Genomic DNA, 25,326 nt, shown 5'->3' with positions numbered 1-25,326 from the left:
AGGAATACATACTTTAAACAATCATTTAACCTTCTACAAAATGATCCCCTTCCTAATTCCCGTTTGTGATAATACCTTTTCGTTTTAGCTATTCCAGTAATAGCTAATGACATTGTTGCAGAAGAGAATGTCTACCCAGTAAAATAGGTATAGGATATGTTAGTCTATTTCTGTATGCACAAATGAAAGTTATTTACTTACGTAAAATATATTCTTCCCACTTCCTGAGTTATTAATGTACAAAGAAATAATCTTTTTTCCCCTTTACCATTGAATCATTGACAATGACTAAGCTTCAATTAACAAATAAATTGTTAGAAACAATAGTGGGCAGTGTTTCCTAGATTTTTATTTACTTGCTAAAATATTTGAATCACATATCATAATTTATATTTTAAAAGCATTCTTTAAAATATATTTTGACATTCATTAATTGAAACAGCTTATTTGTAAGAATGTTTTTGTTAACATGAATGAAATTTGAGAGAAAAAGTGACAAAGGTAACTTTTATCATCCAAATATGAATAAATGAGAGAGGAAGTGGGATGGTAGTAAATCCAGAATGTGATAGGATAAATGAACTTAATCTGTGGAGAATCCTCTTGCTAGAAGCAGAAGAAGGGAGTTCTTAAACATTTTAAAACAAACTTTTGTTCTTATCACTTAGCTTGTACTTAATGCTTTAAGAGTCCTAGAGATTTTAGTTTGGTTTGGCTTTCTTTACTGTGGTAGCATTTACCAATTTCTTCAGTTCTGCCTAATCTTAGTTTGCATATAATATTGTCAGCTCTTACAAATATATGTAGATAGTTTTCTAAAATGAAAAAGAAATGGGCTGGTCACAGGAGGTGGGGACTTGGGATGGATGGTTTTAGCAGCATCTGAATGGAGTAGGCAGCTCTTGTATTCCTAATGTACTTTCACACACTGTAGCTTTAAAACAGAAGCAAGTTGCTGTGTTGTTGCCAACCAGATAGCAAAGTGGATAATATTCTTGGTTAACACCAGGGCAAGGTACTTTTTATACTTGGCAGTTTAGTTCTTTTATAAAATCCAGTTTGAAAGGTGTATCAGCAAATTATCTTGAAAAAGCTATCAAATAATTGCCTTATGAATGTAATCAGAACCTCTTTCAATTATAAATCTTTAAGTAAAACATGGAAACAATAATGGAAAAAATAAAGAACTCTTCAGACAGATGTAATTGTATATGATAGTTTTATTGGCATTTTAAACTACTTTGTAGTTGTTAAAGTATTTTACATTCTACTTTCTTTGTAGGGAAAGTTAAGCATAATTCTGATTTTTTTTTAATCTAAAAGTCCCATTTGGCACCCAAAAGTTCCATTTCATATGCATTACTCAGTTATTTACACATAATCCTTCAGATTGTGTGTGGAATTGTTCTCGAGCTGTGTGTTAGAGATAGGCTGCTGTGTGGGTGGGTCGAGTCTAGCTTCTGGATTCCTTTTTATACAGGAGGTGCAGAAAATCATGCCAGAGATAAACAACAGCATTGCAGAAATGAATCCGATATAGATAGCTCCTCCAGGTTCATGTTTGTTGCTTTCTGGAACTGTCAGATCCAGAAAGTTTGCTATGATCTCCTTTGTGTACCACACTGTCGAGATTAAACTAGAGATTCCTGCAGACATGAAACAGACTCCTCCAGCAAAGGAAGCATGGCTCTTGGTTTCTCTGTCCCCTCCTAAGCGAGTACATTTCATTCCTACTGTGGAAGTGCAGATCCCCAAAGCAGACAGAACACACGCCAGGACCATGGTGGCTCTCGCAGCCTGCACGTGGATGGGGAGGGACAGAATGGAGTGTTTCAGGGCACAGCTGAACATCCCAGTGCTGTACCACGTACAGTCCATCCAGAGCCCGTGCAGCTGTACAATGGCTGTTATGATGTTGGAGTCCACATCCACATTCACCTTCCAGTTGGGCAGCAGAGTGGCTGTGAGCACTCCAGAGACCCCAGATAAGGCCAGGATGAAAGCAAGGAGCTGGAGTCCTGCTGAGGCCATGATGTTACTGTTAAGTCTGTCCTCTTAGAAAATCCTGATGTTTAACAATGATGGCTGTCAGAATTCTATCTATTTCTGTGCAGTAGAGAACCAAATAACAAAGCCTAAGGAAAAAAGGCAAAACCAGGATTGAGCGAAAGAAAGTAAGTAAACAAAAGGCTTCCCTTTAGAGTAGGAGCCAAGAACACATCTGAGTATCCCCCTTCTCCAGCCCCCAAGCAGATGAGGATGCTGTAGGCTGGAGGAGAAAAGCTCCCACCAGGCCTTGAAGACTGGTCTGAGTGATATGCATGGGTGGTGTTGATACAGGGCATAAAGAAAGCAGTTGCCCACTTAATTCTTTTTAAAACTCAACATATGCTGAAACTGTAGCGTGGACATGTACGTTGTTAGGAGATTTAGACATTTGAAATTCCAGCTATAGTATCTGATAAAGAATTTTAATAGCATTATAGGTTTTTCAAATGATTTTATTTTTTATTTTTATTTTTTTTGAGATGGAGTCTCACTCTGTCACCCAGGCTGGAGTGCAGTGGAGCGATCTTGGCTCACTGCAAGCTCCACCTCCTGGGTTCACACCATTCTCCTGCCTCAGCCTCCCGAGTAGCTGGGACTACAGGCGCCCGCCACCATGCCCGGCTAATTTTTTTTTTTTTTGTATTTTTAGTAGAGATGGGGTTTCACCCTGTTAGCCAGGATGGTCTCGATCTCCTGACCTCGTGATCCGCCCACCTCGGCCTCCCGAAGTGCTGGGATTACAGGCGTGAGCCACCACGCCTCGCCCAAATGATTTTATTTTTAATGAAAATACTCAATACATAATAAGGAAGAAAATAAATTAAGGCCACCTTTTAAAGATGGTTTATAAATACATTTTAGAAAAGTATTTAGGAAGTGGCTTTCATAAACAGATCTTTATGACACACCCACAGTGCCAGGCACATAGCCCAAGTGAACCATTTGAGGAGGAAGGACAGCAGTGGAAAGAAGTCTGAGTCACTGGCATGGTTATCCCTAAGTTCTAGTTAATACCTGTTTGCAAAATCCTGACTGAGGTTAGTACTTGTTTTACTTCAGGTGCCTGGTACTCAAAACAATTAAGCCACTGTTTTTTGTATATAAGAACATGAGGTCCTTTCTAATTGGGACCAGAATCATTTCCTGGCCCAAATGAAGCCGGCTATTCTGAACAATTCAGAAGTAGTGATGGCAGATCTCAAAAATACATACCAGAAATAACCACATCATTAGTTGTATGTGAAAGGATACCAGAAATAAATTAACCCTTTATTTTCTTTGTTTATTTTTAAGAGGAAGGAAAAGACCACCTACTTTGTGGCTTGGCTGTGTTTTAAGAAACAAAAAGGCTTTCGATTCCATCTTTCTATTCCTGTTCCCCTATCTAGCCCATCTGGCACTGCTTACTGCCTTATTTGAGAAAAATGTAATGGTTTCTGAAATACTGCAGTACTGACTTTCTTTGTCATTCTGAGTTAATTTTGAATGGTATGCTAAAGTGGCTCTGTCGTGATTCATATGTATTTTACAAAAGGTGATACAGGCTCTTGAGTCAAAGACACTTGGGCCAGTTCTTAGCTTTATACCTCTCTGTGCCTCAGTATCCTCTTCTGGAAAATGGGGAGGATTGAAATACTTCGTTCATAGGGTTAAATAAGTTAATACATTTTAAGGGCTTAGACCAATATTTAAGCCACAGAAAGTCCTCAGTAATTTAAAATTGACATCATTATTAGTATTTTTATTTCTTATGTATTGTGACAATTGATGTTTAAAATTATTTGGATCTTTTCCCTTTTTCTCTTCCTTCCTTGGGCTGATTTATTTTCATAGAATCTTGGAGCTGAAAGAAACCTCAGACAGACAATCTCAAGCATCCTTGTTTTTTCAGATCAGAATGTTCAGATAGGATATCACCCCATGTCATACAGTCTTCAGCAGCCAACCTGCAGCGTCCAGATCTCTCTCCACCCCTCCTACCTCACAGGGTCATCCCGCATCCTTTCCCCTTTTACCACAACACTTCCTGCTGAAATTCTTTCTCCCCCTGTGTGTTTCCCTTGGGAACCAGGGAAAACACTGTATCTGGAGGCAAAAAGCACCATTAACTGTCTACTTCACCCACTCCCCTCCCCACCAAGGAAAAAAAGGACTGTAGAGGATGTTAATAGGCCACATGGCTCAGCTTCAGATGACTCGGCAAGGAGATTGATGCCTGGCTTTGGTTAAATATTTGAAATAGTACTAATCCATTGCCTATATTTAAAGTATAAACTTTGCATAGCTACAAACATTGATTCTCTAAGACATTAGATCCTAGACTATCTGGATTGTGCTGTTCTGTTTTTGTTCATAATCTGAAAATGTAAATCTTACCATTTTAGAAAAGGATTTCCCTAGGATTTTAAGTTCTTAAGAGTCAGACTTATCTGTAGACATCAGTGTGCCTAGGATTCACCTGCTATCATACAGTTTCTTTTCTGTTTTCCAAACTTAGACCAAAATAGAACAAAAGTTAAAGTTTCTAGAAAAAAAATCAAGCACATGTTTACAGTTTTGTAATAGCTGCTTTCAAGTTTAGGTTTTAGCATTTCGGACTCCAGCCAGCTTGCTAAATTACTGCCTCTGGACCATTTTCAGCTTAGGGATTCTTCAAGTGTGGGGTTGCTGGAACATTTTCTAACAGCATCTGCTTGCTCACTTTTCTCTCTCCCTCTCTCTTTCTTTCTACTTTGACTGAATAACCTTTGTTGTCAATCTATGTTCAGCTTACCAATTATAATCCTTTTCTTCCCATTAACTGATATATTTTATAACTTTCAGTATATTTCAGACATGAAGACAGTTTGTTCATCATGATTAACAAGTACTGGCAGTGATCAATTACAGACAGCCAAAATCAGTGTAAACAATATGACGTGTCATTTAATTAGCATAGTGCTTGCTTACTGTTGAATATTGGATTCAAATGCTTTTTTTTCTGCATAGAGAACTTATGTAGAAAGAATTTGTTCTCCAAATGAAGGTCACTTTCTGCTCATACAAATATACTGGCATTTTAGCTGCATTGCGCTTTACCCTCCAGCCACGAGTATAATACCGTTTGTGGCCTGTTCTCTCAAAATTTCTATCTCGTAGAGAATAAAGGCACACTTTGTTCCAGCAGCTGTGGTGGTGGTGGTAGAGAAATACTGTGAAGGCAAGCAGAAGCAGAGGGGAGGGGTCGCATGTAAACACTTACATGGTCTACAGTGAAAACTCTCTCATGGTCCCAAAACACAGTGCACACAGAACAGAACCCAGGCACCTTCAGTTTATGAACTACTCGCCAACAGAAAGTCTGTTGTAGATTTCACTAAAATGTAAAGTCAGCTTTCCAGACAAGGTTTATTTATATCAAAAATAATATTTAAAAGCAGATTTACTGCTTATAATTCGAACTAAATAATACCGAAAGACCTATTCTTAGATCTCTAAGCATTAAGACAGGTTTTATTTACCATACCTTTTGTCAGTAGCCTTCACTGTCTTAACTCCTTCGGTCAGTTGTCTTCAAATTAACCTCAGTTAGTTATGGTGAAGAAAAACCATATACGTGAGGCTTATTTCAGAAATTCTGGATATGTTTATAAAGCTCCAATAAGTTAACTTGAAAAAAGCAAATAAAGGACAACGTAGAAATCTGAGAGGTAAAAACTGCTGATGGTGTTAGAAGATAAATACCAGGTTCTCCATCTCATTTTTTGAGATGTGGGAGAATTAAGAAAGGAGAGGCGGGGAAGGGAGGGAATTGTTGTTACAACAGGATTTGTTGAAACCTGAAAGCTAAAAATGCTTTTGTGTCACTGTGTACAGAGGAGGAATTATTTGGGTGCTCACAAAAAGGCCTTCTTTTCTTTTAATATAATGTTTTAGTCACATAGTTATAACTTATTTTTGAAATTTTCTCTATGTTGAAAGATATAATGTATTATTTTATGTCCTCAGTTCAAGAATGTGGTCTGAAATATTTTTAACAATGTCGTGCCTTGCAAATGAGAGTTGAGACTCCCTTTTTTCCCTGGTATTCTTGACTTGTCTGGAACCTGAATTCATAAAATTGTTAATTTTCAAAATAATCATTCAGAAGAAAGTTTTTTAACATATGTATTTTTTTCAATAAAAGAAAAAAGAAAACCCAGCAACAACTTTTGACTAGAATCTGATCACTAAACCTACAGGTATTTTTGTGTGTGTGGTGCCCTGAGTTTTCTTGTTATTGCTTCCACTTAGATTTGTGGAGTATAACTATAGAGATTCAGGAAATGTTATGAATAAATTACCCAAAATGATGTGATGAGACACATCAGATAAGACTGTGATCAGATACTGAGGTTGTAGCCCATGAATAATGGTACAGATGGATTTCACTGCCATCCTTTTGGGTTCTCATTTTTTTCTTCCTCAGTAAGTTTTATTCTACAAGCTATAAATTCATAGCCATTATACAGAAAGAAGATAATTTTATTATTGGATTTTTAAATTTAACAACTGTTAATAACCATGTTAGACTTTAATCATTTCTTTAAAAGTAGTAAATAAACAAACACATGTTTCGGTTATCTGGATTTTTTGTTTTGGTTTGTTTTAATCCTAAGTTTTGCATTGAGCAAGATACTCTTTTTCCTCTTTTCTAAGTCTAACATCTGTGGGTTTGCTTTTCAGCCATAGTATTGATTACATGTTAAGTCTTAGCTCTCTAAGTCGTTGTAAGCTTTATGTGTACTGGCTTTGTTCTTTGATTTTATTTCATGGGAAATACAAACAATTCAGTGCATAAATAAATACTGGAAGAAGTTGAGTTGAATTGCAGACACTAATAGTCGCAGCAGTGTCATTAGTGCTGCATCCGAAGACACCTCACCAGGGCCCTCCAGCGTCCTGGCTTGTTTCGCTGGTCGCCATGGTTGTTAGTGCAGACATAAGCTTTGTGAGGCTGACTGATGGCAGATGGAGGGACCCGGCTGCTCCCCACTCTAACCTCTAGCATAAGGAAGCTGGCTGGAGGATAAATGGGTTAAGCATGCTTTAATGTACATTTAATGTACATTTCTATTCTCAAAACATGTTGATTATTTTTTTGCCTTGATGAAAACAATAATCCTATAAAATATTAATTGCCTGCTTTAGAAGGAAAACTTCTGAACTGGAAGCAACTTTCGTTAGCTATAGACCTTTAATGAAGGCAGAATTTCTTATATAAAAAAGGAGCTAGGAAAGTAGAAGTGTAAATAGAAATATAGTTTATCAACATTACTATCCACTTCTGATGTGGACATTAAAGGGATATTAATCTTTTAAGTCCAGAGACTCTCCTAGGTAAGTCTTATGACCCCTCAGCTTAAATCTCTTGCCCAGCCCTCTCCCCTGAACTCCCAAGTTGTGTTTCTGTCTGCTGACTTGGCGTCACTGATGGATAGCTCAGACCTGTCATGGCACAAAACTGAATTCCTGACCATTCCCAAACTGTTCTCCCCACGGTCTTCCCAGGTTCATTAGTGGCAAATCCTTCCTTCCATTTGGCCGCCTGAGATCTTAAAAGTAATCCCTGATTCCATACCCAACATCCCTTGAGTCAACAAGTTGTTTTGTTTCTGACTTCAGACTAGAACAAGAACCTTCCACCTCTGAGCTCCTCTTCTGCTTCCACTGTAGCGCAAGACCTCTGAGGTAGAAGTTCAGCCCCACAGGGCAAGCACTTCTCTCTGTTTCGTTCATCACTGATTCTCCTGTGCCAGGATCAGTGCCTGGCACATAGTAGGGATACAATAAATATTTGCCCAATGAATGAATTCAGAAACTGACTTTAAGTATATAATGTTAAACTATAAATTGCACTTGAATGATTAAAAATACAATTTTATTTCTAAGCAGGACTAGAATTTTAAGTAATTTTGGAACTCTAGTTTGTCATCTTGCTAATAACATTATCTACCATTTATAACCTGCTTTCCATATGCCAGGTACTGTTTAAGGTGCTATAATACTTAATTCTCAAGACAAACCTAGCAGATAAGAAGAATTTTATAGACAAGAAAACTGGCCGGGCGTGGTGGCTCACACCTGTAATCCCAACACTTTGGGAGGCTGAGGCAGGCGGATCGCCTGAGGTCAGGAATTCAAGAGCAGCCTGGCCAACATGGTGAAACCTTGCCTCTACTAAAAATACAAAAATTAGCCAGGCGTAGTGGCACATGCCATTAGCCCCAGCTTCTCGGGAGGCTGAGGCAAGAGAATCGCTTGAACCCAGCAGACGGAAGTTGCATTGAGCCAAGATCGTGTCATAGCACTCCAGCCTGGGTGACAGAGCGAGACTCCATCTCAAAAAAAAAAAAAAAGAAAAGAAAAGAAAAGAAAACTAAGCTACAGAGAAGTAACTTTTGACTAAGGCCATAAAATGAGTAAATTGCAGGAATGGGGTTGAGTCCCAAAACAATGATTTTTGAAACCCTGACATACTACATAGCATTGCCCCACCTCTAATTAGAAAAGAGCATATTTGTAAGTCCTACCTCTCTTGGTAGTTTATAAGCTATGGAAACAAATTAACCCAGAAATCTCTGTAGCTTTACATATCAGCATTTACTTCTCAGTCCTGCAAAGTCCACTGTGGGTTGAGTGATTGCAGTCCATCTTTCTTCTTTAGAATGTTTTCATTTATCTTTTTTTTTTTTTTAATTTTTTAATTTTTTTTCTTTTTTCTTTTTTTTTTTTTTAATTGATCATTCTTGGGTGTTTCTCGCAGAGGGGGATTTGGCAGGGTCATAGGACAATAGTGGAGGGAAGGTCAGCAGATAAACAAGTGAACAAAGGTCTCTGGTTTTCCTAGGCAGAGGACCCTGCGGCCTTCCGCAGTGTTTGTGTCCCTGGGTACTTGAGATTAGGGAGTGGTGATGACTCTTAGCAAGCATGCTGCCTTCAAGCATCTGTTTAACAAAGCACATCTTGCACCGCCCTTAATCCACTTAACCCTGAGTGGACACAGCACATGTTTCAGAGAGCACCGGGTTGGGGGTAAGGTCACAGATCATGTTTTCATTTATCTTTAAGCAGAAATTACTTTAGCTTCCCTTAGTGTGTGGTGTTGCTTAGTGATGTTAATCTGGATGTTCAGGTAGGCTTTTATTGTCTTTCTGAAAGAATCAGTAATTTAACTGAGTATTTTGGAAATAACAATACCACACCTTTTCATAGAGCTTAACAGTTTATAAAGCATTGCACTCCATCTTCTCATCACTGGATCACAGTAACAGGCTTATGAGAGAGACCTCTACCCTAATCAAAGAAGCCTGGGGATCAGGGTTAAGGGGAAACACTTTGGTGGCTGACATTTTCTTCAAGAAGGAGTTTGAAGGCCACCACTAGAGGCAGTGTGAACCATCAGAGTGTTTTTTTGTGGTGGAATTTGTGGTTTAAGAGCACTTGGCTATGGTGTGGAGGATTTAAAGAGATCAGAATTGGAGACAGACAGACTCTGGGAGGCTGTGGTAATGGGAGCGATTAAATGGAAATAACTAGATGAGTAGAGATATTGCATAGGAAATGGATTCAAGATAAAGGGTGTTCATAAATTCTGGAAATATAATTAAATATATATAATGTAGTCAAGGGCATCTTCGGTCTGTAAAAAGAACCCAAAATTTCCTGTCTACATTTTGAAAACAAATTTGTAGAAGGGGCTTTGGGCTTGTATTGGTTTCAGATGTTTCAGTGGACAAATTACAGAAAAATCTAACAGTAGACTAAACTATAAGGACTCATTGTTTGAAAGTCAGTACTGTTCAAGGTTAGTTCTGCAATTTAAAACTCTTCTTAAGTATTCCAGCTCATTCTGTTTTTCTGTTCCTTCAAACTGAACTTTTCTTGGCTGTGTGAAGGTTGATTATACAAATTAGGTCATTCTTGTCTTACCCAACTAAATCAGAGTCAAGGGGCCAGGAGGAAAAAGCACTCAGGGCACATAGCACTGTCGCACCTGCTCCAAAATTTACACTTTCTATAAGCCTAGCTGCTGAAATGGCCTGCTGTAACACCAAGACCAGTTTTAGCTAGTAGCTGCTGGGACCACCTACTGTGACTCTAAGACTGGTTTTACCTGCTGTCGTCACTCACCAATCAGAGCTTGTCCACACCCAAAAGCTTCTCTAGTGCCAATGAGCTTTCTTTCAAAACAACACATAACATTTCTCTAATAAAACTCCCAACCTTCCTTTTGTTCTTTGGACATACTGAAGACCACCTGGTCTGTGTGTAGGCCCTAATTTACAATTCTTGCTTCCCAAATAAAACATTGAATTTGGAGATTTGTCTCTATATTTTAGGTTTACTTCAACAGCTATGAGATGGCTGCCTCAGCTGACCCTTTCATCAAGAAGCACCATATTCTACGGCCAGGTGTGGTGGCTCATGCCCATAATCCCAACACTTTGGGAGGCCAAGGCAGGTGGATTGCTTGCGGCCAGAAGTTTGAGACCAGCCTGGCCAACATGGTGAAACCCAGTCTCTATTAAAAATACAAAAATTGGCCGGGTGTGGTGCCACCCACCTGTATTTCCAGCTACTCAGGAGGCTGAGACACGAGAATTGCTTGAACCCAGGAGGTGGAGGTTGCAGTGAGCCGAGATCATGCCACTGCACTGCACTCCAGCCTGGGCGATAGAGTGAGACTCTGTCTCAAAAAAAAAAAAAAAAAGGCAGCAAAGTATTCTAGAGTTCTCTTCCCCTCTCCCACCACCACCCCAGACTATGCTTTAATGTCTCACTTTCCAGAACTGGCTCATTTGGTCATTCTTTTTTTTTTTTTTTTTTTTTTTTTTGAGACGGAGTCTCGCTCTGTCGCCCACCCTGGAGTGCAGTGGCACGATCTCAGCTCACTGCAAGCTCCGCCTCCCAGGCTCACGCCATTCTCCTGCCTCAGCCTCCCAAGTAGCGGGGACTACAGGCGGCCGCCACCACGCCTGGCTAATTTTTTGTATTTTTTAGTAGAGACGGGGTTTCACCGTGTTAGCCAGGATGGTCTCGATCTCCTGACCTCATGATTCGCCCGCTTTGGCCTTCCAAAGTGCTGGGATTACAGGTGTGAGCCACAGCGCCCAGCCTCATTTGGTCATTCTTAACTGTGAGCGAGACTGGGGAAGTTTGTATCTGGCTTTTCATCCCCCCTGGTGAGCTGTATCCAGCAGGGACTCAGGCTGGCTTTGTGGGTGTCACAGGGCTCTAGCTGCACTTCTAGTGAATTTAATCTCCAGGATTTGAGTTGACTGTGTGATACTTTCCCAAGCAACTAGGATTGTTCCCCAAACCTGTGATTCTCATTTCTGCCCACACGAGGGCTTTGGAAAAGCCCCAAGAGGCTCAGGCCCAACCCAGTGGCTTTTATTTAATTTTCTGGGATGGAGCCCCATCCTTGTATTTTTCAAATGCTGTCCATTTAATTCTAATGAAAAGTTGGGGTTCTGAATTTTAAAAAAAATGTTGTGATGGTTAACACTGAGTGTCAACTTGATTGGATTGAAGGATACAAAGTATTGATCCTGGGTGTATCTGTGAGGGTGTTGTCAAAGGAGATTAACATTTGAGTCAGTGAGGTGGGGAAGGTAGACCCGCCCTCAATCTGGGTGGGCACCATCTAATCAGCTGCCGGCTCAGCTAGAATATAAGTGGGCAGAAAAATGTGAAAAGAGAGACTGGCTTAGCCTCCCAGCCCACATCTTTTCTCACGTGCTGGATGCTTCCTATCCTCAAACATTGGACTCCCAAGTTCTTCAGTTTTGGAACTTGGACTGGCTCTCCTTGCTTCTCAGCCTGCAGATGGCCTATTGTGGGACCTTGTGATCATGTGAGTTAATACTTAATAAACTCTTCTTTATATATATATTTAATATTTACATATTATATATTAAATATATATTATATATTATATATAATATATATTTATATTATATATAAATATATTTAATATTTATATTTAATAAACTCATATATATATATTCCATTAGTTCTGTCCCTCTAGAGAACCCTAATACAAATGTTTTTTCTTCTTTGCTTTCCATTCAATCTTGAAAATAATGACAGTTCAGAGTAAGATAAAATAGTTACCTGTTCCAGCCCTACAAATTTAAAGTGATTTGACCTAATCCTAAAATAATGTTCTTCTTCTGTCCCAGCCTTAGGAAATTAACAGTATCAGCTATGAATATACGAATGTACTGACCAAGCATCTTCAGTGTGATGTCTAGTCCGTTTGATAATTATGGTTTATTATGAATTACTATATTTGTATGCATGTTCTATTTCTCAGTCTTTTAATAATATTACTAGCAGCATTTATCAAGTGCCTTCTGAGTTTGTTTAGATTGAGAGCCTCTCTGAGGTCCTGTCTTCTCTCTGAGGGACGGGAGTTGCTCAGGACCTGCAGCGCTGGGGTCCAGACCCTGGCAGTTGCCAATGTGCTGCCACACCCATGGCCCGGCTGGGCAGCCTCGAAGCTGCCTCAGGCAGCTCCTGCCACATCCACAAACCCAAGCGGGAGCACAGCCCGGGACAGGAAACACAGGGCACGTCCAGATGCTGCTGCTTCACAGACACCAAGGGCGTGGTTTGTGGAAAAGGCCTAGTTTTAGGAAGGTCTTTTCCCTCTGATCATCCAGGAACTCCAGATTAAATGTAACAGAAAACCTTTATACAACAATTGTCAGTTCTTGTTCCATTTGTGCTTTCTTGAGGATTACACGTGCATCTCCCTGAAATTGTTTAATCTCTTGGGACCAAGAGACACTGACTCATCTTGTTGTTGTTATTACTAATAGGTGTAATTTACATACATACATATGTACATTTACATAATTTACACAGTAAAAAAACTCTTCATCCCCCTCACCACATTTCTTAGTCTTATTTCTCTTGTGATCTGAGTTTGCTGTCATTCTCTTGGCCTCAGTTCTTCCTACCACATCTGCTCTGAGAGGAAACACTATGTGACTGTTTAAAATCTGTTCTTTTTTTATGATCCCAAGAAGAAAGAGAAAAAAACAAAGATCTGTAGGAAGAAAAAAGGGTGAGGACAGAACTTCTGCAGAAATAAATATTGTTACAATAACACAAATTGTAAACTTTAGGATAGGTACTGACCGTGTAGTTGATCTTTATTGAACCAGTTGGTTTGAAATACTTAGAATGCTGTCAGCTTTAAGGTTTTACAGTGGAAATTCTTTCCTTAAATTGGCTTTTGGACATGGATCACAGGTAGAGTGAACCAATTCCAGAAAATGTGATCTACATTCACATTTGTCAGTATTTTCTTTTTCTATGACATGCATAATTATCATATCACAGGCATCAGTGACTTGCTGCCTCTACCTGGGATTCTCCTTACCTGGGAAAGTTGTAACCTCGAGGCCCGTGATGTCCTAAAGTGGACTGTCATTAGCTTGGTGGAGGTACTTGAAGAGCAAGCAGACACTGGAGGGTGGGGAAACCAAGCATCCGGAGGCACTCATCTTGCTCCGTTGTTTTACCCGACAGTGAAGTGGCTCTCCCAAGCCCCTGTCCTCCTGCGTTCCATTTTGTGGTGCCTATAGCCTGCAAGATGCCATATGCTTCCTGTTCCCAACCACCCAGGTCTGCCCGTGATCATCCCACTTCGAACTTTGAATCCTTCTTATATGTTGTTCTTTAAAGTCTTACTGATTATTCCCTGTGGTCTTTTTTTTTTTTTTCACTAGCCCTTCTGTTGTCTTAAGTTATGGCTGTGTCTTGGCTATTTACATAGTAACTTCCTCATCATTTTTTCATCTCCACTATCTTGTCCTCTAATGGTCTTGAACACCGTGAGAGTGTTGAATGAAGACCCTTTTGTAGACAGTGGCCAGCATTGTTTCTGTGTCTGTGCATGTGGTCGTGACTTAGCTTTTGGGCATATGATAATCATCAGGAACTGAGTTGTACGTCTCTTCAGTGTCCTCTGTATATCATGTTGATTACAGTTCTCAGTTGTAATATCTAATATCTAAGATTTAAGATTTAATATCTCCTTAGCCCGGGTCCCTTGTGAGTTCCAAGTGCTGCTCTGAGCTGATAACCAGTCACGTCCTAGACACCCTGGCCTGGAAACTAGGACATCTGCCTCGGGCCTGTTATGGCCAAGGCTGCTAACACTGAGAAACAGTCTTAGCTTGTTACAGCGTTGACGTATAGGGTTAGAAAGGCAAATATTTAAATTCATTTTAAATCCTTTCATTTGAAATTTTAGTAGGTCATTTTGGTATACTGATGGACTGAGTTTGGAAAAGGCTGGCGGCATTAAACTAGAATATTTTAAGTACTTCTGATGCCTTTGTACTGATTTCTTTTTTGTAATCAAACCCATTAATAGACTTAAAACTCAAGGAAGAAAAAATAATACTTGTAATTTTAAATAAGCATTCAATTATAAGTAAAAAACATTTTTGTATTCGTTACCATAGTTACCAAGCAGCTTTCCTATAGTTCTAGAAAAAAATGGGCTCCATCATTCAGAGTAATTCTGAAAGGTGCCTTTGGGGGAAAGGGAGAGGAAGGGGTGGTACAGGAGAGGTCCTGGCCGTCCCAGAAGCAGGAGACATAACTGGAAGAGCTTTGTTGACGCTGAGTTTTACAGAATCTCCCACTAAATAGTAACTGCATTTGTGAGGGGAATTCTCTTTTAGCCGTGACATAATATAAGCCAACTTAACAGAGTATTGGAATTGTATTCAAACTTTAGAAGTCGACGCTATAGTTTACATGGGGTACTACTATATTTGTTCAGGGTTTTAAAACTTTATTTAAATCAAGCAAAAGTTAGACACTTCCTGTATTTGCAAATACCAACTATATCTCAAAGGAATGAAATCAGGCAAATAAAGATGAGGCCAAAATTTAAAATCTAAGGAAGCTGAAAGTGGCAGTTTCTGTACTGGAAGAGAGTGCATCTATCTCTGTATTTGTGCTTTTGGTCTTAATAGTTTGTAAGCCTTATGTAGAGTTTTGATAATATTTCATGGTTTTAGGCCTAGGCAGGGATTAGATTTTATCTCAGATTTTGCTAAGAGTATTTCTTCTGGAGACTAGCAGGCTGCTAGTAAGAATTGATAGAATTGGCTCTTTGTCACTGGGAGAACTGGAGTTGAAGGGTTACAGGAGATGAGTCCTGGAGAACGGGAGGCAGGGACAAGGGTGCCAGGAAGCTCAGGGGATGAAAGGGAAATGGAGAGTCCAGTGAGAGAAGGCTGGCGAGGTGTAGAGAGTGGCCAGACACATGCCTGACAGTTGGGACCACTTCTCTATACAAATCAGGAGGAGGCGAGGTAGGCAGGATAGTTCAGAGTTTGTGGGAAGGAACCTGACATCTGAAGTCAGTGGAGTGTGTCTTGGGCTGCTGCCTGCACTCTGCCATTCATAGATCAGGTCTTCTTTTTCCTTCCCCAGAACTGCCCTGAGCTGAAACCACCTTTCTTCTCTCCCTATAGCAGTACATCTACCCCACCTACACCCTGCATCCACTCCACAGCCCCTTGTCTTCTTCAGTCCCTCTTTCCCTGATGACCACAGACCTCTCCAAGCTGGGCACTGTTCTATGGTGCGTTTTGTTAAAGTCTAAGGGAAGTCCTGTAGGAAGAGGTAGTTGTTACTAAACTTGAGGAAACATGAAACAACATATAGCACACAATTCAAAAAACTTACTAAAATTTATTAAGAGCATTTGACATCTTAGTTAAGTCACTGTTCATAACTACTGTTCCACCATAGAATCTTCACAAGAACAGCCTGCTGGACTTCACAAGAAGGCTGATGGATGTTGGGGGTGGGCATTTGGGGTGTGGAAAGGCCGCTTGGCACATTCTCAGCATGCGCCAGCCCACACCGCCCCTTACCACCAAAGCCTTCTATTTCCCATTCCATCCAGTAGGAGCAGCTGTAGCTGACCTGAAACCTTCGGGGACAGGCTCATTGATTGTTTAAATAGGGAGGTGCAAGCTCTCAGGGGTCCGGGGCCTTGATGACACAGCTCAGGCACCACAGGCACCTCCCACAAGCGCGTCAGGCTGTGTGAGGCTGAGCACAGCTTATTTTCACTTTCTTGTCCATAAAGTCTCACATCATATTCAGTTGTTTTCCTTCTACCCTAAAAGAAACACAACCAGAAAAGCCAGTCTCCCATTTTCATCTGTTTAAGGAATTATGTAGCCACAAGGATCTTTAGAAGCAAGTCCTCTTAGGAGAAAATGACAACCTCTATGGGATTTCAACAATGGAGTTCCTTTTGAAAAGCAGTGGTGCAGCCCACACCTCCTAAATTGCCGTACTTTCTTCGCCTTTTGTTGAGTCTGTATGAGATCCTCATTAACAAGTTTAACAATTCCTGGAGACTGAGGCTTTTGTCAATTATGACGAGACTTCCCATTTCCTAGACCATGGTCTCCGTTAGCATTTTTGTGTGTGTAGTTACTGTTTTGAATCCATTTCCCTCTGTCTTTAAATGTTTTTCCTTTGGTATTTGAATTTGTCCTTGTGAATCACCATGAGTCCATTTTTGGAACAAATCAGGGTATAAATCTCTTATAAGATATGCCTGAAAAGTTTTATCTTCTGACAATTAAAGAATCTCCACAGCTGGCAGTAGCTTAAACACTATCAAACAGTGACATTTTTTGATGGTTTCCATTTTCAATTTCAGTCCTGCCTATGCCTTTCGGGGCATTTAAAATTGCTACTAGAAAGTTCTGTGGCTTTTCAGACTACACTCATGAATTCAGTCCAGCTGATTAATCAGTGTCTACCGAAAATAAGTGGTGTCTCTATCTGGGAAGTTTAGCACTGAGTGGTCCCTGGGGGCCTGTCTGCCATCTCTCTGTGTCTTGAAGCTGCTGCTGCGGCTTATTTTTTTCCTCATTCAAAAACTAAAATATTCTAATGCCATCTATTATCTGCTGACTGACTTTAATGATTTGGATTGATTTTTAAGCCATTGTGAAACTGTGTTTTAAAATTAAGTGACCATCAAGCACAGGTCTGGTGGATGTCATTAGAGAACAGGTGCAGCCGGCTGATTTCTCCATGTCATTTGCGAATCCAGAATGTACCATCTTCCATGCCTAGAGATGAAACCGAAGTACGTGGAAAGGTCTGTTTATGAAAACAGGCTGTTGACAGCCCATCCTCCTGTTTTACAAGGATGAGTTGATTGATCACACTATGCCACATATCATGCCACAGAATGATAATATGTTTGCTTACAACGAAGGTGGACGTGGGCGTGGTGCACTTCACTCCCTTGATACAGCCCAAGATAGAGCAGCCATTCAAGCTGGTGGAAAAAGTGGTTCAGAATGTATTTCAGTTCCGAAGGAAATACTGCCATCGAGGGCTCAGGTAAGAATGCCTTTTCTTCTCTTCAGTTGCAGTCTTTATAAAATCCTCAGGCACTTTTTAAGAGTGAGAACCTTGTTTGCTCTATTCTTAAAGCTCTGAGTATTACACTTAGTTCAGGCCTGTGACGGACAAGACTTCACTGCCAATGAGGAGAGAGCAAAGACTTGCTAGACCTCAGGTGGCCTCTCTCAGGGTGGCTTAAACATAAGCGCAGCCTGGAGTTGGTGACTGCACAGCTCACAGAGGCTCTGTACCAGGGAGCTCGTGGTTCCCCAGTGAGGACTCAAGACAGATAATAATGGGTTTTTTAAATGCTTGCTTTCTACCGAGTTGCCCTATCTCTTCTTTAAGGACACACTTGAGAACTAGGAAGCAAATATGACTTCTGAGCAGCCAAAATCATATCACGAAGTCCTCACGTAAGCACGTTTCCATCTCACAGAAAGCTGCTGCTGCCAAGAGGCTCTCAGGAATCACTGGGAAAACCTGACAGGGCCTGGTGGTCTAGAGGTCGCCCACCTCGATGGGCTCTGAAGGACCACAGCCTTGTTGCAGATCCAGAAAGAGCCAAGAAGCTGTTTAGTTAAGCCCAGTGATAGTCTGCTTAAGAAGGCAGGAAAGTGTATTTGTAAAAGATTTCCATCTACGATAATCTATCCATAGTCCGCTGTTTAAAGAGGCTCGGCGTGAGAGGCACATATTTCTCATTTTCTAAAACCTCCTCACATGGCTTCATTGTAATTCTCTCTTTCACAAGGTCCGAAGTGTCCCTTTAGCATATGAAATGACAGCAGATTATTTTAGGGGCCAGCTGGGCATCAGCTCCTAAGAGTGCTGCAGTCCACAAAGCCCATTGCTGAGGATGCCAGATGGCAGAAGCTGGAGCCTCAGCCTGCCACTTGTTGCCTCTAATTAAGCCAGAATTCCCACCTTACCAGATAGTTCCTGCTTCTCTAGCAGAGACTTAAGGTGCAGAGCTGGTGACAGAGATGCCACTGGCCAGCCATTTTGGCTGCAGCCCCCAGCTACTGTGCACTGCTGGTGAGTGAAACAGAAGCTGGATTTTGGCTCACACTTACCCCTCACGCAGAGCAGGACCCACACAGCTGTACCTGATAGCCCTGATTCATGGGGGAGGAGGGAGCACAAAACTATGTCCTTTTATGTGCTTTTGGAAATCCTGGAATTGGTCTGAGCCTAGAGCTGGCACTAGCGTTTCCAAGGCAACCCCCCAGCTAAGTGAAGGGCCCTATTCATTTCAGATACACCATCCTCAGGACAGACATGGACCAGATACTGTGCCACCCAGGGTAACAGGTCAAAGGACTTTGACTTATTGGTGTTCTTCAGATATTAGAAACTGCCATCATCAGGCCCTCTTTGCCATGAAACTGAACTCAAAGATCTGTCACCTCACCCTGAAAGTGTGGGGGACATGCAATTCCTTGTTGAAAGGACCATCAGCCTATAAGCAACATGCTATCTATCTCCCCTGGCCATGACACCTTCCAAGCCCCTTGGGATGAGCTCTGTAAGAGCCCTGAGACTTGAAGAAAAATGCAATCCAGGCCTAACTCCGCAGCATTTCAAGCAGTTCTGCTATTCATTTTAAAACAATGGTTCAATTTGGATAGATGAAATTTAAAATATATCCTCTACTTCAAATCAGTTTTAAAGATGCTTGAAAAATAACAAGAGGAATAATTATATTTTCCTATCAGCTATTTTCAAACTTTTAGCAAAAAAAAGTAACTCTTTTAGCGTGAAGAGTTCTAAAGGCTGATACATTCAAATTCTAGAGAATCAAAACTGATGATTTGTCACACAAGAAATAATACAACTTTCACATTGAAACATGAGGCACATCAAGCTTATGTTTCTACAAGAATGCAGCTGAGCAGATGTTACTTTAAACTTACTTACTTACCTTTAAAAAGTACATGTACTGATTTAGCTTTGGAGAATGCTTTCCCATTGTGTGCTTGCCTCGCGCCTCAGGTTAGAGCTGCCTCAGTGGCGGGCCGTGCCTCTTATCTGGTGCTATATAATCCAAGAGGCTCCTGCCACTCTCTCCAGCTGTCAGTAGCCAGCAACTGTGTTGTGTTGTTTTCAAATGAGGGTTAAAAAGTGTCATGATTTGCAGAATTTAAGTAAAATTCTTATTTTTCTGTCTGTCTGTCTTCCCCTCAGAATGTTATTCCCTGAAGCGCAGCGCTTGGAAAGCACGGGCAGGCTGTTAGAGTTGGCAGACATAGACCCTACTCTTCGGCCCCGCCAGCTCTCCATCTCACACTTTAAGAGCCTCTGTGATGTATACAGAAAAATGTGTGATGAAGACCCACAACTCTTTGCATATAATTTCAGAGAAGAACTCAAGCGAAGAAAAAGCAAAAATGAAGAAAAAGAAGAGGATGACGCAGAGAATTACAGACTCTAGCTGCTGCCTGGGGGCGAGCAGCCTACCAGATGTCGATTTGCACTACGTGGAGCTTCTTATATAGGTACTCTTTTGTCTTTACAGAATGACGATACAAATGCCAATGACCAGATGTGACTTATTTTCCTTTTACTATACAGCTTGGCAGAGAAAATAAATATCATCAAATAAGATACAGTACAAGCTTTCTTTTAATATATACTGTATAGATAGTTATGACATGTTTAGTATAAACAGCATCTATTACAATCTATCTTACAAAAATGAAGTATCTGCACATTTTGCCCCTAAACCACATTAAAATAACTTAAATATGCTTTAAATAAAGCAAAAACTAACAAACAGCTGAAAGAAAATGCCCAGAGGATTTTAAAAAATGGCCCTTTGAAAACTATTAATCACGACTTCCCCAGCCTTACTTTTTCCACATAACTTAATTATTAGAATGTAATTTTAAGGATCCTAAATCATTTGATACCTGCTCAAAGTGGATATAAACTAAGTAATTTACAGATTCTGACCAGTTTCATCTAGGTTTCTGATCCACAATAAATTAAAATAACTTAAATCTTTACAACCATTTTGTGGGAAAATGTATACTGCACAAAACCCAGGAATGAACAGTTTTTTTTTTTTTTTTTTTTTGCAATTTCCACTTTACCACCAGTTTAAAAGTAAAATGAGGAATTTAACCCATATCTGGATTGAATCATACTATGATTTTCCGTGGCTCTCTGTTTCATAAAAACACTCCTCACTGACAACAGATGTTAAACTCTGGACACTGAATTCTCGCTCTAGAACAGAATTTAGGTCGATGGTGGCATTTTCAGACTGACTGTCAAGGGACTGGTGACGGATCTGCGCCTTGAGCAAAGTTCCTCTGTCCCTCTTGGTGCTGTTGGCTTTTCGTTTAATGGGGCAGAAGTGCCCCCGGACCAGTTTGGGCTGCTCTCCTCCTTTCTGACCCTCACCCGACTCCGGGCCAGGCTGCTGCTCAGCCTCGGGGTGAACGTCTGGGTCCTCGGAAATCCTCAGTCTCTGGAACTGAATTTCGATGTCTTTAGTAGGGCTGCCCTGCTTCACAGTCTGACGGTGGTCATCATCTTCATCGCTCAGGATGTCACTCTCTTTGATGAGATTGTCGGCAAAATCTGCCAAGCCGGGGTGTGGGTATTTCCCGGGAGAAGTGCTCTTGGAGTCCTGCCTGCCCTCAGCCGTGGGGCAGCCGCTGCTCTGGGTGCCGCTGCTCAAGCTGCCCTCGTCAGAGTCCAGCAAGGTTCCCTTGCCAGTCTCACCGGTCCACTCGTTGCTGGAGGAATTCTTCAGGACTTTTAAAGACCTGGATGAAGCTACAGTGAGAAAAACACATTTCGCTGTGATACAGAAACAGGTTACACAATGTGTAATGTTTGCCTCAAAGCTTGTGTAAGATTTAACATTAAGATTTTATTTTATGATATGACTTCAGTTAGCAACTATCCTGGTAATTAGGCAAAAATGTAGCTACTGAAAACATGGACATTTTTGACTTAGGTTTACAGTTGTAAGTTAGGCAATTCAGCATTTTTAGATTACCAGAGCTCAATTATGTAAATAGAACTAGACACTAGAAACTACTACATGGGCTAAGATTCTTATTTTGCCAAGGAGTAAGTTGAAAAGTTAATTGGTAATAATAAATCTAGGCTCCTTTCTTTCACTAAGGTGCTTTGTAATTTGATCATGAAGATCACACCATATTCCTATGCATCTTCTCACCTTGTGGATTTCCCTTGCTGCTCAATTAAAAGTAGAAAATGCCCCTCCCCCCCCCTTTTTTTTTAAAGACAGTGTCTTGCTCTGCCACCCAGGCTGGAGTGCAGTGGTGTGATCTCTGCTCACTGCAACCTCCGCCTCCTGGGCTCAAGTGATCCTCCCATCTCAGCCTCCTGAGTAGTTGGGACTATAGGTGCGCATGATCACGCCTGGCTAATTTTTATATTTTTTTTGTAGAGATGGGGTTTTGCCATGTTGCCCAGGTTGGTCTCAAACTCCTGTTCTCAAGAGCTCAAGGGATCCACCTGCCTTGGCCTCCCAAAGTGCTGGGATTACAGGCATGAGCCACCATGCCCAGCCTAGAAAATGCTCTTTATCTCTCATATGAGAACTGTCTCTGCTGGAATTTCAAAACAACTTTCTGAAATTTTATGTTATAGGTGTGTGTGTGTGTGTGTGTAGTTCTGTTCTCTTGGATTGAAAGAAGGAAGGGAGTTCTCAGTTTTGGTGTTTCTACAAAGTAATAACAGCATGTTATTTTGATGGCCAGTTTATTTTGACAATGGAGAAAATAGTAAATATGTGGTAGATCTGAAGAGGTCACACTGATTTGACATGAAAAAGCGAAGTTTTACATTTTCTAAGCCTAAAAACAAGAAAGATAATAACAAAATAGTTAATGTAGAAATAAGGTTCTGAAAACTTAAGCTGAAATTTTAGAAACAAGCAGAAAGAACAACGTGATTTGAAATGCTTACTTGGTGCCCTATCGATTAAGAACGAGTATAAGAGGCCCCTTAACTTAGATGGCATTACATCCCAATCAACCCATTGTTAAGTTGATAATATGGAAAGTCGAGAATGCATTTAATGTACCTACTAACCACTGCGGCTTAGCCTAGCCTGCCTTCAGTGTGCTCAGAACACTTACATTAGCCTATGGTTGGGCAGAACACAAGGCCTGTTTTATAATTAAGTGTTGAGTATCTCATGAAATGTATTGAATGCTGCACTAGAAGCAAAAAACAGAATGGTTGTCTGGGTACTCGAAGTACGATTTCTACTGAATGTGTGTCACTTTCACACCACGGTAAAGTCGAAAAATTGTAGGTTGAACCATCAGAAGGTGGAGACCCTCTGTGTAAGGTTCTTGATCTTCATTCAGCATTGACCTTCAGGATGCCTGGCACTGTTCTGAGCACTGGGAATACAGCAGTGAGGAAAACAAAGTCCCTGGACCCATGCACATCTTAGTGGAAGAAACAAAATCGTACATTTGGACTATGTCAGCGGGTAGGAAGACAAGGGACTGGGGGTTGGGGGTGGCTGTATTTTACAGTAGAACGTCTGGGAGCAAGAGGCATGTTTAGGTTTCTTAAAAGGAGATAAAGGTACCTCGATGACTTACAAAGTGAAAAGTCACAGCTATGTTACAAGAGCATATATCCTTTTCAGAAGCTCATAATATTTTGTTGAATAAACACAAGGCTAGCAAAATTCTCACCTAATTTGGCCGAAACAGGAACTCGGTTCTTAAGAGGTACCAGGCGATCCTTACACGTTTTCTCCAGTGGTAATTCACACTTTATGTGACGCCTGAAGTTCTCCCTCAGAATAGAACGAATCACCTTAACAATGTTGGTTTTGCTTTCACTGTCACTGGGTGGGGGGGGAGAGAAAACAGCAGAAGTGTCCACAGTGTTCATCGTGCTTCCATTCCACGCCCGCCTGTGTTCCTGTGCCTTGCACCTGCTGGACCAGGCTGCCAGCCAGCCACCCAGCAGCAGTGCCATGTGGCCTCCCGTACAGAAGGAGGTGAGAATTGATCACTCTTAAGATTTTGATATTTATTTAATCAACATAGTCTCCTACTAGCGGCCTCAGTTGCCTTTTTCGGAGGGTGGGGAGTATGACCCTGATATCATCAAAATTCAGGAGGGCACTAAATATAAATTCCCTTAAGAGACATAATTCTATGTTATTTCTGTTGGTTTTAATCTTTGGAAGTCAGTCATACCTGCAACACAACTGAAAGATGGTTTCTGGCCGTCCTTCTATTTCTGACTTCGTATGGATCAGTTCCCATATGGAATTATTTTCTGTCCCTATGTAAAAGGAAATGGAAACAAGAGTCTACAACTTTGCCCAAAATGCTGTGGTTAAGAACACTTGTAAAGTTGAAATCTCATCAGTTAAGAAAGTCTAATATTCCCAGTCCTGGCTCATTTTCTTCTGTGGCTTGTTCTATGTATGATTTTCACAGTTACAAGAACTGAAATGCCTTTTGGTTACTTTTTACATTTCCTGCTGCAGATTTTCCTCCATCTGAACTGCCTTCACCCTCTCTCTGGAGCCCCTCTCTGGGGAAGAGGAGATTCAGTGGATCCTATTCTTCAACCTCCTTTGCAGTTTTGCCCTTTCCTTGGAAGGAACAGGAGCTGGGGTACTTGAGGTAAAAGAGGCCTGCCCCAAATGTGGTCATTTTCTCGAAAACATAAGCACTTCTGACAAAAGTTAAACAGAAGCCCAGCAGGTCACTGCATGACTCAGCCTGCTGGCCTCTTCTGTCACCAGATACCTGTCACCAAAACAAGGTTACTCTGGAAGGATCTCTGAACATTTTCCAGAGTCAAAGATTTTTTTCTTTTTATATCACCTACAGTACTACCTAACCTTAAGGAATTTTCTGCTATATTCTAAATTTGTAAAAACATAAATTTGTGGATCTTTGTTCTTCTAACACATTTTAGGGTATCAAGGCAGAAAGGAAAATGTTGAAAACTATTGATAGGGAAAATAAGGAAACAATGAAAGGCATTTGGCAAAGAAAAAGCTATCCACCAGCATTTAGTTTCTCCCAGAAGTCTGCTAAGGAACATCAAAACAACCTCTCTTGTCCTCATTTTCCTTGTCTATAAAATAAAAGGCACCAAAAATTATCCCCAAGGTCCTTTCTTAATTTACATTCCACAGTTAAGTCTACTAAAATGCTTTTTCTGGCATCATACTGCACGAAACAGTTACCTGCTGGATTCCCCAGTCTGACTTGAAGCGCGGAGATGGGGATCAACCAGCGGAATTTAAATGGGTCCAAGTCAGTAGAGTTGTGTGCAGGCCGGGAATTCGAGGGCTGTAACATGAAGGCCCACCAAGAAAAGTGTTAGGGAAGCTGTCACTGAGGGAGGATGTGTGCACAGTGAATAGAAGTTTATGTTCTCCCTGTGGGCGAGTCTCCGAGCAGCCATGTGGGTGTTCAGGGCACAGAAGTCAATCAGCTACGCACCCAGTTCTCAAAGACCTCACATGCTAGGGAAGGTGCGGAGGCAGAGTTGTGGTTCAGAAGCAGTTACAGGTCTCAAAGCAAGAACAGCAGCCAAAGCTTCCACGCCCTGACGCTGCCTCTGAATGGTAAACCAATGGCATATGGTATCCACAGCTAGGCTTTGCTTTTTTCTGAGTGAAGGTAAAAGGCATTTGAAAATAAACCAAAGTTTCACAGACTATGTTTATGGAACAAACATGGGCCATTTTCAGGGATATAAAAGTCGATGTTCTATGTAGGCCCCCATATGAGTATTTATCTACTTTATTTACTTATTTATGTATTTATTGACAGGGTCTCACTCTGTCGCACAGGCTGGAATGCAGTGGCA

General features: G+C 40.9%; 3 protein-coding genes across 15 annotated transcripts in view, besides 2 other annotated features; 1 reads left to right on the top strand and 2 right to left on the bottom strand.

The window, feature by feature from the left end:
• Positions 1 to 25,326, top strand: part of TFB1M (transcription factor B1, mitochondrial) — an 84,614-nt gene that overhangs the window by 36,734 nt on the left and 22,554 nt on the right. For 5 of the 10 annotated variants that reach the window (NR_146725.2, XR_007059269.1, XM_047418852.1 and 2 more), the window contains exon 6: positions 23,987 to 24,125. Coding sequence is in view for 8 of the 10 variants with exons in the window: in XM_047418852.1 (XP_047274808.1) it covers positions 23,987 to 24,124 (138 nt within the window). In the remaining 2 variants the exon portion in view is untranslated. Of the gene's footprint in view, positions 1 to 17,182; positions 17,479 to 19,668; positions 21,618 to 23,986; positions 24,126 to 25,326 lie in introns of those variants that run through there. The other 5 variants (NM_016020.4, NM_001350502.2, XM_011535873.3 and 2 more) reach the window with 3 other exon arrangements.
• CLDN20 (claudin 20) lies at positions 1,203 to 13,738 on the bottom strand. Its single transcript, NM_001001346.3, has 2 exons — positions 13,463 to 13,738; positions 1,203 to 2,135 (listed from the first exon to the last, which is right to left on the bottom strand). Exon 2 carries the CDS (start codon positions 2,029 to 2,031, stop codon positions 1,372 to 1,374), a length of 660 nt encoding a protein of 219 aa, NP_001001346.1. The 5' UTR covers positions 2,032 to 2,135; positions 13,463 to 13,738; the 3' UTR covers positions 1,203 to 1,371.
• TIAM2 (TIAM Rac1 associated GEF 2) overlaps positions 20,028 to 25,326 on the bottom strand; it is a 262,409-nt gene continuing 257,110 nt past the window's right edge. For all 4 annotated transcript variants that reach the window (NM_012454.4, NM_001384546.1, NM_001384547.1 and 1 more), the window contains 4 exons: positions 24,698 to 24,803; positions 23,691 to 23,778; positions 23,178 to 23,332; positions 20,028 to 21,267 (listed from right to left, as the gene is read on the bottom strand). In NM_012454.4, coding sequence (NP_036586.3) covers positions 20,630 to 21,267; positions 23,178 to 23,332; positions 23,691 to 23,778; positions 24,698 to 24,803 — 987 coding nt within the window. In that variant the 3' untranslated portion in view covers positions 20,028 to 20,629. The remainder of the gene's footprint in view (positions 21,268 to 23,177; positions 23,333 to 23,690; positions 23,779 to 24,697; positions 24,804 to 25,326) is intronic.
• Positions 22,820 to 23,393: an enhancer, noted in NCBI's record as "H3K27ac-H3K4me1 hESC enhancer chr6:155575492-155576065 (GRCh37/hg19 assembly coordinates)". NCBI's record gives its function as "activates a minimal SCP1, AML or CMV promoter by ChIP-STARR-seq in naive H9 embryonic stem cells {active_cell/tissue: H9 hESC(naive)}" and the evidence as "EXISTENCE:reporter gene assay evidence [ECO:0000049][PMID:30033119]".
• Positions 23,394 to 23,968: an enhancer, noted in NCBI's record as "H3K27ac-H3K4me1 hESC enhancer chr6:155574917-155575491 (GRCh37/hg19 assembly coordinates)". NCBI's record gives its function as "activates a minimal SCP1, AML or CMV promoter by ChIP-STARR-seq in naive H9 embryonic stem cells {active_cell/tissue: H9 hESC(naive)}" and the evidence as "EXISTENCE:reporter gene assay evidence [ECO:0000049][PMID:30033119]".

This window comes from Homo sapiens, chromosome 6 (assembly GCF_000001405.40).
Source record: "Homo sapiens chromosome 6, GRCh38.p14 Primary Assembly".
NCBI lineage: Eukaryota > Metazoa > Chordata > Mammalia > Primates > Hominidae > Homo > Homo sapiens.
This window is presented reverse-complemented; position numbering and strand designations above follow the sequence as displayed.

Bases quoted from the DNA above. Each gene is read 5' to 3' on its own strand.
- CLDN20 (NM_001001346.3), bottom strand. From the start codon at position 2,031: ATGGCCTCAGCAGGACTCCAGCTCCTTGCTTTCATCCTGGCCTTATCT.